The sequence below is a fragment of the Homo sapiens genome, chromosome 12, assembly GCF_000001405.40.
Source record: "Homo sapiens chromosome 12, GRCh38.p14 Primary Assembly".
In the NCBI taxonomy this organism is placed as follows: Eukaryota; Metazoa; Chordata; class Mammalia; order Primates; family Hominidae; genus Homo; species Homo sapiens.
In genome coordinates this window covers 67,014,771-67,028,578 of record NC_000012.12, presented here as the reverse complement: position 1 = coordinate 67,028,578, position 13,808 = coordinate 67,014,771, and the positions used below count along the sequence as shown (strand labels likewise).

Sequence of the window (13,808 nt, the reverse complement as noted above, 5' to 3'; positions counted from 1 at the left end):
ATTCATAAACGTCTATAGGATATGCTAGCTATATTCTGCATTATACTAAATAATATGGGCACGGATGCTGTTTCCTTTTCCAGCAATCTTTTCACAATTTCTACTTACATGAATGCAGAAAATTGCTGATATAATTACAGGTATCCATTCAATCCAAAATATGCTCATGAAGAAACTACTAAAAATACATCTATTTAAAAGTCGTTCTATTCAAACACTGTTCTTTAATTTTAATGTTCAGTTTTTAAAAAGCAGTATTTGAAACCTCTGGGTTTGGTAGTTGATGTGAACACAAACCCCAGTTCTCCCCAAATTCCCAGTGGAATTGCTAAAAGGATATAACAGGAGGGGAAATCAGTATTAATAAGAGAAACCAGGGATGGAGACAGTCCCTTTGGCTGAAAGTGAGGGGAATTTTGGATAGGGGTTCCTCAGTGGATCCAGATTGAAGGACATCCAAAAATGCCTCCCCCTGGAAGATATTGTTGGGTCCAGAAAATATCCAGGTGACCAGAGAGACACAGTGTTTGGAGGTGAGGGTGGATTGAGGGTCAGCTGGTGAGTATGTATGTTACCTACACATCTGGAGATTGAGTTGCCTCCTGGGTCCACCCACATCCATCTGCCCTCTTCCAATTCCTTCCCCTCACTAGACTTAAATGATCTTTTCAAGAGGCATATCTGGTCATGTGTTTCCTTTGCTTAAATGCTTCTAGAGGTTTCAACTGTTTTTTTAAGGTCAAGGCAGATGTCCAGAACGTGGACCCCTCCATCTCGCCAGACTCTTGTCATGCCATGCCTTCTGGGTTGCAGCCAGAGTGACCTTATGTGCACCACTGGCCCTGAACTAGTTCTATTGCCTTGACATTCTTCTTGCCCCTCTTTTCTAGTTAATTCCTAATTGTTATGAAGACTTTGACTCCTTCCTTATTTCCTTAGGGATCATCAAAGATCTATGCTTTCATGCACTCTGTGCTTCTAATCATAGCCAGTTTGATGCTGATTTGTTTAGTATTTGTCTCGCCTATTAGACTATGAACTCTACAGGGACAGGATGGTATCTGGTTTTGCACGTCACTATAGCCTAAGTATTTAGCATGGCATTTTGCCCATATTAGACACTCAGTAAGTAATATTTATGGAATGAATGAATGGATGGACGGACTGGTAGGTGGCTGCATTTGTATTTCAACAGCTACGTAAGGTACCTCTAACATTTGCTTCCTGCACAGACAACTATCACAAGCCAGTGACCACGTGTGGTGATAGGAAAGTGCTGCAGGTTGCTCTCAGTGTGGGTGCCACATCAGGCAGAGGTTTTGGAAAACTGAGCATTTCCCAAGGAATAGCATCCACATTGGAAGTTCAGGTGCTCACTGGTTGCTTTACTGTCCCTGCAAGCTGTTGGATGTCCTTACTGATAAGATATCTCCCCCTCCTCCCTGCTCTCCTTTCAATCCAGACAAGAATGTTTGTTTAAGAAAGATCTGTTGCCTTGTGTGGTGGAGTGTGCCTGTATTCCCAGCTACTCAGGTGGCTGAGGTGGGAGGATCACTTGAGCCCTGGAGGTCGAGGCTGTAGTGAGCTGTGATTGCGCCATTGCACTCCAGGCTGAATGACAGAGCGATACCCAGTTTTAAACAACAACAACAAAAAACTACAAACACACAAACAAGCAAAGATTTGGATGGGAATTCACAACAAATTCTGCACAACTCTATTAGGAAATTATTTTGTCATAAAATAAGGCTCTGTGATGGGTTCTTAAAGAGATTATATTATTCAAAAGAAAGGGGTCACCATTTTTCTGGGGCTTCTGAGGAGTTGTTTCCTCTGTAATAGATTGACCATGAGATATGAGATCATCTTAGAAATATGTTTTTCTGCTTTCAACAGCACTTGAGGGCATGTTAACATGTGTGAGACTACAGTCAGCTAAACAGGCCATCAGGATAATGAAGAAGAGGAAGGATTACAGAGAGCCGAAAAGCTGGAAAGCCAGCTTCAATAGAAATAATGACAGGAGCTAACATTTATTGATTACTTACTAGGTAACAGGCATTGTTCTAAGGGCCTACGTGTTTTAACTCAATCCTTAGGACAACCTTTTGAGGGAGGAGATACGGTTATTAACCTCATTTAGGAAACCTTTGTAGGGGAGTGAATAGAAAATGGGACACTATGGAAGTCAAAAGTAAGGAAGTAGAAAACAAGCTTGAGAAAAAATTTTCCCAACAAAAGGCTGAAAATGTAGAATATGAGAACTATGGGGAAAATTATAGCAGCTTTTAATGGTGTTATCTTTGAATGGTAAGATTAGGCATGACATTTGTTTTCTTCTTTATGTTTTTCAATGTTTTAAAATAAGAACTTTTTGAAAAATGCTTTTTTTTAAACAAAGAGCATAGTTGACAGAGAGCATCTAAGGTTTTCAATAAATAATCTTAAATAATTCAATGAAAATTAAATTGCATTACAGGCAGTATTCAGGGAGTAGACAAGAGTGAAGCAGCCCCGACAGGGAGTTAACCTCCTAATTGGGAAAATAGAGCAGAGAGATTCATGCTGCTGAAGAAGCACTGTGACTATGCACCTTCACTCCTCCAACTCAAAAAGAAGAAGAAGAAAAAAAGCCCGAGGAAAATGAACACCACTGGCTAGTTAGGAGTATTTTGAGAATTCACTTTAAAGTGCTGAGAAAGCACTGTTATACATGATAATTAAAAGTTAGTTAATAATTTATGCTTTTAATTTTAATAAATTATTTATTTGTTTTAAATATATTATGCCTCGTTGCCTGGATCCTGTTATCTTCCATTTATCCACACTTGGGGTAAACCTAGCTGAGGACCCTCGCCGTCATGACCCAAGATACCATCTGGTGGCAGGTGTAGGAATTGCGAGTTAAACCCTGGGGGGAGAGAAACCTGGGGCAATAGTCTAGCCTTAGAAATTCAAGTCCATGAGGAGATACTAAAGGTAATGAACATATGAAAGGACTGACTCTGTAATGCACGTTTATTTATTCTATCTCATATTTCTATGGAAACAGAAGGCCAAAGTGTAAGCTTGTCTGGAAGACAAAATAATTTTAAATTCAAATAGAGAATTTAAAGTTTCTTGTTTTCTTAGTTTTTAATAAGTTTCCTGTTCTCCAAATTGCAGTTTTTTTCATAGGCTGTGTGATTGTTCTTTTTGCTTATTCTTTGTGTGTGTGTATGTGTGTGTGTGTGTATTTGAGACAGAGTCTCGCTCTGTCACCCAGGCTGGAGTGCAGTGGCGTGATCTCAGCTTACTGCAACCTCCACCTCCCAGGTTCAAGCAATTCTTCTGCCTCAGCCTCCCAAGTAGCTGGGATTACAGGCACCTGCCACCACAGCTGGCTAATTTTTTTGTATTTTTAGTAGAGACGAGGTTTCACCATGTTGGCCAGGCTGGTCTCTAACTCCTGACCTCAAGTTATCTGCCTGCCTTGGCCCCCCAAAGTGCTGGTATTACAGGGTGTGAGCCACTGTGCCTGGCCCTTTTTGCTTATTCCTACATAGAGGGTTTTATGCTAATAGTTAAGTAGAGATGAGCCCTTTCAAAAATTGGCATAAGTTTTCAGCCAAGACTTTTGAAGGGATCTCCTGGACTAAATGAAAGAAAAACAAATGGCAGTGAGAAAAATCTCATGATTTCTTTAAATTGAGATAAGTTTTTAAACATTATTAGTGGGGGAATTACTGACTAGGAATAATTATGACAAACATATTATCGTAAAGATCTTTTGACTAAAATATGTGTGTGTATATCTTTTTTTTGTCATTGTACCAGGAATTAAATAAAATTAAATATGGAAGAGTAGCCATTTGTATTAGTGATCTTTTGTAAGTTTCTAAGAGAGTTTAGAATTCCACACGTGAAATGATCACGGTCGTAATACTTTTCCTATCTACAATTTATAATTTAGACTTTGCATTTAGAACACAAATAAGATGGTAGGATTTTTTTTTTAGTAGTCACTTTATTACATAGGCAGGCCTTGACTTACAAATAGGTCCAGTAAACGGCCAAATGGCCTTTAGGATCAGAAAACCAGTAAGTCCTATTTCAGACATGCTGCCTTGGCCCGGGTTTCCCCCTCTTTCTCCTTCACTTTCTTTCATTGCTCTGATTTAAAACACTCTCCCTCTTCATACTCAGTTGATTTTGTTGTGTTTCCCCCAGTGTCTATGGCTGCAGGTCTGTCCTCCCTCCGCAGATCCTTGCCTGTGTTCTTCCTAACGTGGACCCAGCCAGAACTCCTTAGGGTCAGTTTCCTCTTCAGAAATACACACGAATCTGCAGTGCGTTGGGCATCTTGATTATTTGTTTGTGTTTCATCTTTCTCAAGAGTCATAGAAAGTAAAGAAAAAGAGGGTGATGAGTGATGGAAGGAAAACATTTTTTCTTTTTGATAATTTTAACTATTTGTTAAAAAAGGATTCAAAGATCCCCAAGTGTGAACAGTCTGAAAAGGGCTTTTTGCTTGCTGCAGGGACCTGAGAATTGAGAAACAGCTGTGAAACTTTGAACCCTGGCTGGAAGGTCCTGGTATTGACTGTGGCAAGAAAACGGGGGAGCTAATCTGTAATCTGCTTAGATGGAAGGAAGGAAAGAAAGAGAAAAGAGAAAAAAAATCAAAGAAAAGCAAAGAAAAAGAAGAGAAAATATAAAAGAGGGAACTAGCTTTGGGTCCCCATGGAAACATATACTGGCAGGAGACACTGTGCCCCTGGTTTGAGCTTACCCTCTAGTTCCTGGTCCGCTGGAGCCTGGGGCATTGGAATCTGCCACTATTAGTGTGAGGGTGACAGGGAGGGAGGAAAGGGTGAGAGTGGAAGTTTTGGATTCCACTGCTTAATCTATAGATTCAATGTAATCCCAATAAAATCCCAGCAGACATTTTTTAGTAGAAATTGACAAACTGATGATAAATTTCATATGGAAATGCAAAGGACTTAGAATAGCAAAAACAACTGAAAAAAAAAAGAACAAAGGTAACTGATTTAGCATATATCATAAAGCTGCAATAATCAAGACAGTATGGTATCAGCATCAAGAAGACAAATAAATCAAAGGAACAGAATGGAGAATCCAGAAATAAACCCACACATTTACGGGTAACTACTTTTTGATAAAAGTGCAAAGATAATTCAGTGGAGAAAGGATTATCTTTTTAACAAATGGTGTGGAAACAAATTAGAGATCCCTATGGAAAGTATGTGCTTCCATTTATCTTTTATATCTTATTAAAAAGTTAACTCAAAGTGTATCATAGACTTAAATGTAAAATCTAAAACTGTAATAATTCTGTAACAAAACTAGAGAACTCCTTTATGACTTTGGGTTAGGCAAAAATTTCTTAGATAAGTTATCCCAAAACATAATCTAAACACACACAAATTAATGAATTAGACTTTCTCAACACTAAAAATGACAACTTTTTGAAAGATATGCCACCACCTGAGAGGAAATAATTGTGAAACATATATCTGATCCTGTATCTAGATATATAAAGAACTCTCAAAACTCTGTAATAATAAATAAACCAAAATTTTAAAAGTGGGCAAAAGGTTTGAACAGGTACTTAAGCAAAGAATATATATGGGTAACAAACACATAAAAAGATGCTCAGCATACATAAGCATAAACATGGGAACAACAGACACTATAAACTACTAGAGGTGGGAGGGAGAGAAGGGAGTGTGGGTGGAAAAACTACCTATTGGGTACTATGCTCACTACCTGGATGACAGGATGCATACCTCAAACCTCAGTACCACGTGGTATACCCATGTAACAAACCTGCGCCTTTACCCCTTGTAGCTAAAATAAAAGTTGAAATAAAAAAAAGATACTCAACATTATTAGTCATTAGGGAAATGCAGGTTAAACTCACAATGAGCTACCTATACAAATCTATTCAAATTGTTAAAATTAAAATGATTGACCTCACTAAGGGTTGGCAAGGACAGGAAGGAACTAGAATTCCCAAACATTGTAGATGGGAATGTAAAATGGTACAAGCACTGTGGAAAACAACATAGTAGTTTCTGGAATAGTTAAAATTTTACCTACTAAATCATCAAACCATTCCACTCATAGGTATATAAAAGGAAAATAAAAGCATGTGTACATAAAAATACATGTACATAAATGTTAATGTCAACCTTATTTGTAAGAGTTGAAACTGCAAACAACCCAAATGTCTAGCAATAGGTGAATGCATAAATAAACTGTGGTGTAACTGTTGATAGGATGTAAACTTGCACAGCCACTATAAAGAATGGTATGGAGTTTCCTCAAAAAATTGCAAAAACAACTACCATATGATCCAGCAACCCCCACCATTGGATATATATCCAAAGGAGAGGAAATCAGTATATGGAACAGATAGCTATAGAGTATATGGAAGAGATCAGCGTATGAGAGAACACTCCCATGTTGATTGCAGCATTATTCACAATAGCTAAGATAGGGAATCAACCTAAGTATCTATCAACAGATGAATGGATGAAGAAAATGTGGTACATACACACCATGGAATACTATTGAGCCATAAAACGAATAAAATGCTGTCTTTCACAGCAACATGGATGAGTCTGGAGGATATCATGTTGAGTGAAATAAGCCAGGACCAGAAAAATAAATACAGCATGTTCTCACTCATATGCAGAAACTAAAAAAGTTGATCTCATAGAAGTAGATACTAGAATAGTGGTTACTAGAGGTTGGGAAGGAAAAGGGAATGGGGGGATAGGGAGAGATTGGTTGAAGGATATAAAATAACAGCTAGGAGAAAGTATAAATGGGAGGAATAAATTCTAGTGTTCTGTAGCACAGTGGGATGAATATAATTGACAATAGTTTATTATATATCTTTGGATAGCTAGAAGAGAGGATTTGGAATGTTTCTTGCACAAGAAAATGATAAGTGTTTGAGATGATGGGTATTAATTGCTCTGATTTGATCATTATACATTGTATGTATCAAAACATTACTATGTACCCCATAAATATGTACAATTATGTGTCAATTAAATAAAAAATAAATTGTAGTATATCCATACAACAAACACTACTCAGTAATTAAAAAATTAACTATTGATATATGATACAACAGAGATGAATCTGAAAATAATTATGCTGAATTAAACAAGGTTGACCTCCTCAAAAAGAATGTTTACTGCATGATCTCATTTGCCTAAAATTTCAAGAAATGCAAACAGATCTTTTTGTTGTTGTTGGGGGACAGGAAGAAGGAGGGATGGAAGGTGGGATGTGGTGGGAGAAAAGAGACCAACAAAAAGTAAATAAGGAAATTTTTGAGAGTGATGAAGCACATATTTTACATATTGGATATCCAATTCCATCTTGATTGTGGTGATGGTTTCTTGGGTGTATATATGTCCAAGAGCTTATCAAATTGTGTATTTTATTTTATTTCATATTTTTTTGAGACACGGTCTTGCTCTGTCATCCAGACTGGAGTGCAGTGGTACAATCATAGCTCACTGCAGCCTTGAACTCCTGGGCTGAAGCAATCTTCCTCTTTCAGCTCCCAGAGTATCTGGGACTACAAGTGCACACCACCATGCCTGGCTAAATTTTTGTATTTGTAGAGATGGGGTTTCACCATGCTGCCCGGGCTGGTCTTGAACTCCTGGACTAAAGTGATCCTCCCACCTTGGTTTCCCAAAGTACTGGGATTATAGGTGCGAGCTACTGCACTGGGCCCAGATTATATATTTTAAATATGTGGAGTTTATTTTATGTCAACAATACTTTATATAGTTGAAAAATAAAAATTATATTATGTTTAAATCAATAATATGGGCTTACTCTTATTGGTTTAAAATGTGCTTTTCTTGCCTATAATCCTAGCACTTTGGGAGGCCAAGGTGGGAGGATTGCTTGAGACCAGGAGTTCAAGACCAGCCTAGGCAACTTAGAGAGATCCCATCTCTACAAAACATTTTAAAAAATTTGCCAGACCACCTGTACCTTTAGTCCCAGCTGCTCAGGAGGCTGATTTGGGAGAATCACTTGAGCCCAGGAGTCCAAGACTGCAGTGAGCTATGATTGTACCACTGCACTCCAGCCTGGGCAAGAGAGCAAGACCTTGTCTCTGAATGAATGAATGAGTGCTTAAGTGTCTGTTTTTCATTTAACACTTTGTGACAGTTTAAGTTGACAATTCCTTTAGTGTTAGTGACATTTAAATGTTTTTAGACATTAAATGTTTGTTATATGCAGGCTTAAAAAATGATGCAAATGCCGAAGGACCAAAATTTCATGACACAGACTGTGAAATAAAGCAAGATCAATGATTCATTAAATCAAAACTTTCTCTGCACAACATGATAAAAAGTGGAGTGTGATGTTCTGCTTTGTAGTAGTATTGAAAACTGTTTTCTACATTTATTCATTTGTTCCTCAAGTATATATTAAGTGCTTTTCACTTAATATTTAAAGTGCAAAAAAAGAAGTTACTAAAAAAGCAAACTTCTAGAGGGGTTCATATTTTGATTACAAAGCTGAGATTTATGTACATAATTAACAACTAAAGGAAGTCTTTAACTGAGTTCAAGAGTATGGTTGTTAATGTTTGTTTCTTATAAGTCTTAACTTTTGAGGTATTAATTGAGAGATCCAAATTCCTTCTGCAGAAAATAATGATTTCTCTTATTTCGGGTTTTTACATTAATCTTTCGTGTGTGTATGTGCCTGTGTGTATGCGTGTGTGTGTGTGTATATATTATAAATCTACTGTTTATTTTAGTAATTACATATATGGATTATAGGATAAATTCTACATTTATTCTCTTTTTTAACATGTTTACCTAAGACTTGATTTGAAAATTGCTAATGTTGTTTCTGGCCTAGTCATCCTCATTTGGAATTATGGCAGTAACGTTCAGTAATATTAACAATTTTTCTAGATATTATCTCTCTGGCTGGGAAGATTTTCCGTAGATGATTCATGTAAAGCTTAGAAACTGAAGGTACTTTCTGAAGAAGCATTTACCTTTTTTACTACTCTTATTTTGAGTGACTTTTCAGTGACTATTTTTCACGATGTACATCTTTAACATACTGCCCTTCCTTCCTTCATATTGCATCCTTTTGTATTACAGTTCTGTGCAGTCAGGGCCAGCCGTGGGGCTGAGCCTCTGTGCACCTACAGCTCCCAAGCGAGCTGGTTGAGAAGGAAGCGTCCGTATTTACATCTTGGCACCATGCAGGCCTCCTGAGGTCCTAACTATGGCTGTTTGCATTGTGCAGCTGCTAAGCAGATTCTTGGACTGCCTGTTTCTCCTGTAGACGCATATTCGTGCGTGTGTATTGTGCCAGCTGTGGGTAAAATTGTGAAGTAGGAAGTTTGCCTTTTGCGCCTGAATGATCGTTTTGGCAGTCATTTCTGTCTCCAACTCAAGGCTCCTTTTTACTCCTTTCTCAACCCACGGTTTTTGTGCTCTGTTGTTCTTATTAAAACCTGTTTTGTGAAAAAACCTGTTATCAGCCCCATTTAATAATGTGAATTTAAGTCAACTTCTCCCTGAAGTATATGCATTTTAAACTGTATCCCTGAGTGTGGTGTGAAAAGCTTTTCTTTCCTAGCTGGATTTTAGGTTTTGGGAAACAAGCAGAGAGGAAGAGGGTGGGGGAAGGGAGTACTTACTTGATGCATCTGAAATCATGCTGTGGGTCCGTGGTTTTCCAACTGTTTTTAGTCACATATCCCATTATGCTGAAGCTCAGTATCTAAAATTGGTTTTACAAAATGGAGCTGACTGGCTGAGACAGAAATGGAGTGTTCAGAGGCCCATTTATTCACCCTTCCTTTTCCTGGGGGCTCCCCACCAGAGACCATCCAAGAGACCTCTGTGGACCACAGTTTGAAAGCCAACTATGGACTTCTGGTTTCTGCCTGGTTTGTAGGAACCTGACACAAGAAGTAATATCCAACATCTTAACTTTTCTTGAACCCATCAGAGAGCTGATGTTTCAGGGAAACTAGCCTAAAATCCAAGGAAAACCAGGCACCTACAAAGAAAGACTGAACGCAGGCCTTGGGTTATCTGTTGCGGAATTCAAGAGGAAGGCAGAGCTGCCATAGACACAGGTAAATTGAATTCAGATAAAATGGCTAACAGATTGCTAAAGGTGCATGTGCGAGAGGGTGAGTGTGTAGGACCAATGGGAGTCGCAGACACAAGGGACATTAGTGCCCACTTGGAGGCGCTCCTCCATGAGCTTCCCTGGGAGCTCACAAGAAAGGCTGGAGGCAGAGAGGGAGATCTGGGAAAGCCTGTCTTGCTGGTGTAAGCCTGGAGGAGGGGAGGAAACAGTCTTGGGCCCAGACTTTTGGGGGTCTTCTACCACCACACAAGGGACAGAACCCACTGAGAAAGGCCAGCCCTGAGATACAGGGAGCCAGGGCTTTCCTAAAGCTGAAGTGAGACCAGGACGACAGAGGACACCAACCAACCACACCTCGGCCAAACTTAAATCCTCATGTTTAACTCACTCAGTATTTCAGGTATCTGTTGTGGTGTAACAAACCACCTCAGAATTTAGTAGCCTAACACATAAGCAATTATTATCTCTCAGAATTCTGCAACCGGAGCCATCTGGGATGTTCTGTGATTCTATGTGGTATCCGGGATGTTCTGTGATCCTATGTGGTATCTGCTGGTGCCAAAAAAGCCCCAATGGCTTCTCTGTTCATATAACGGGCACCCCAGTGGGGCTGGCTGGAACAGCTGCAGGCTGTTTTGGGGATACTTTTTCCCTGCCTCTGTCTTTGGCTTTCTTGGTTGCTTCTTCCAAGAGCAAAAGCAGAAGCTTCCTAGCCTCTTAAGGGCTAGACCTGGAGCTGGCCAACACCATGTTACTTCCAGTGCATTCTCTTGGTCAAGACAAATTACAGGGCCAGCCCAGATACAAGGGAAAGAGAGTCCGCCTTTTGATTGGTAGAACAGCATGCACATATAGGGAAGAGGAAAGTCATTTGCAGCCACCTTTGTAGATTATCTACCATATTTAATTTGCCACACTTTATTTTTCCTGCCTCTGTCTTTGGCTTTCTTGTTCTCCTCTATCTATTAATAGTCTCTTCCTAATTCTCCACCCATTAAAATACACCTAATTCTTCAAGGCCCAACCTAATGCCACTACCTTCATGAAAAGGCTGGTTATATAATTTATCATTTAAAAGGGGATGCTTTAAGAGTAAAAGGGGCCACCGAGAGGACAACAGGCATAAACTGGGATGGTTGCTGGCAAATGGGGACTTATGATAACTATTCATGAGTCTCTCCCTGATTCTTCTATTCAGGAACAATCTTTCCCTTCTACTGAATTTGTTCTTATCTCTGATGGTACACATTTTATTCTTCCTAGTATTTTGAGTGCAAATAACTGTCAAAGCTCTCCTAAAATGTAAATTCCTAGAAAGCAGATTCATTGTCTTATTTGCCTTTCCCAGAGCCCTTGGCATAGTGCAATTGAGTAAGCGCTCAATTATGAATCGGAGAAGAGAGTGGAAGACAGAAGCACCAGCACTGATGTTCTTAGGTTATTAAAAATGTCTTATAGAATTGAATAGCTCCACTGGATCTAAGTACTAGTAATTATACATCTTTTACTAACCTTTGATTGAACATCTAGGCAATGCAGTTCCTTTGTCTCAAACAGGGGGATATCATACTTGTGTTACATATGTTATAGGGATATTGTAAAGGGCAAAGGAAATGATGTATGCACAAACATTTTGAAATATTATGCAAAAATACTTCTACAGATACAAGATGATATTATTTCAATTTATTTGTTTCTAAAAACGGCTCCAATTGAGCAGTCCAGATAATTTCTTCATCCATCGCTTTTTTAGTGGAAGTTCAGACTTTAATTCCCTTTTTCCAAAATTCTTAACTCTAGTTAAGATAAAGTGGGGGGACAGCAGGTCAGAAGTAACTAGATAAAGTCTCAGCCCAGCCATTTCCGTCGACTGCTGAGCATGTGAGCACTGAGCTTCTTTGAGTCTGTTTTCATATCTTTAAAATGAAATAACACCTACTCAGTCCAAGGGTTTAGTGTGAGACTCAAATTGAATACATATGAAAAATCCTTCTAAAATAAGAATAAAGGGTCTTATTTATTCTTATAAATAAAGGTCATGATATTAGTGATTATTTCAGAATTATCTGTTCTATGGTTTTTTGCCTGGTATTTGGTTGTCTGTCTATCTGTTGTCGTGTGTGTTTATATGAATTTGGAGCTGGAATTTTTGTGTCTCAGTGCTTTAAATTCTCAAGCGTTTGGAATTTCTATCTTTTTTAGAGAAAGGAACCATTTTATTTCTTACATTTTACACAAGCACAGGCTATGAAGCAGAGTGTTTTTCTCTCTCAAAGAACAGTGTCAGTGCATCTTAAGCAAATATATAGACAGCTAAAACTACTGCAGTACAAATGACATGAAGGACTTTAGGCATCCCCATAACCCAGAGTTACATGGTTTCAGATTAAGTAAATGCTATTGTGTCCTTAAATCCTTGCTTCAGCCACCTGAGAGGTCTGCAGAAGCAGATGACAGTGATGGTGCTGGAGGTGGGGCCAAAGCTAGGACTTGTCATTAACCAGCAGGGCCATTTCTACTTCACACTCTATTCTAATGCTACTTTCTTGTTGTCTCTCATGTGGGGATAATATTTCTGATTTCATGCCAACTGCTCAGTTTTCAGCTGCTGAGGATTCTGCTGAGTGATGCATCATGTATCCCTCCTCCTGTAGAAATTCAAGGGAAATTGCTCTCTCACCATCACAACATGGTTGAAGCCCTTAAGCCGGATTGTTTACACTCTGCCTCCATCGCAGGATTATTTGTTTCCTTCCTTGCATCGCTTTGGGTATTTGATGCTCTATTCGAATCATTCCTTTTCCCTCCCTCCTCACTCTCTCCATTTCAGATGCTCAACATGGAATTCCTGTCAGAAGTCTTTTTAGAGTGCTTCTCCAAAGCTCTGAGGACTTCCTGAATTATAAGAGTTCACCAGGCCCAAGTTGTAGTGAAGATGCCAGTCTGTCTGCTATAGCAGGATTTATTTTAAAGCATCTCTGAAGCTTTTTGTTTTATTCTGCTCAGAGTCAAGAGAACCCCTCTTGGGGACAGTGAAATATACTTAGGCACGTTTCTCCTGAGCACATGTTTATATTTTAGCGTGAAAGAGCCCCCTAAGCTTGCTAAGAATTTATATAGCAAAGATTGCAATTTCTCAAGTCCCTTGTAAAGTCATTATGGTTCATATGACCTCTGGGATAATGCACATCTTAATGTGCTGCAGAATATCAGTGTACACATTTCTTGATCAGAGTAGGACTCTACCTAGAATTTCTGATGTGTATGTGCACGTCTTCCTCGCTTTTTTTCTCTCTCAGGTAATAGGACCTATACCCTTCAAAAAGTCATAGTGTCTTAGAAAGTGCTATTTTAGTTGTGTAGTAGAGATTCTTTCTGCTGTTCACTAGGAGAAGTGAATATTTATTTTTCCATTTATTTATTTCTTCACTTATTTTACACTTAAAACATTTAACCATTCTGGAAGGAAATCTTTCTAGAATAAATATTTTTCTACTTTTTAAACACACTAAAAGTGGTTTGATTTTTTTTGATGACTCAGTTCTTAATTTCTGACTGCAACTTTTCTGAAATCGATGTCAGCAGAATAGTTACCTACTGCATATTTATAGGTATCTTTAGAAAAACAGTTTTCTGTGATC

The 13,808-nt window shown here is 38.6% G+C and overlaps 1 protein-coding gene across 7 annotated transcripts in view; it reads left to right on the top strand.

Annotated features, from left to right (window-relative positions):
• GRIP1 (glutamate receptor interacting protein 1) overlaps positions 1 to 13,808 on the top strand; it is a 721,908-nt gene that overhangs the window by 40,760 nt on the left and 667,340 nt on the right. The window lies entirely within an intron of this gene.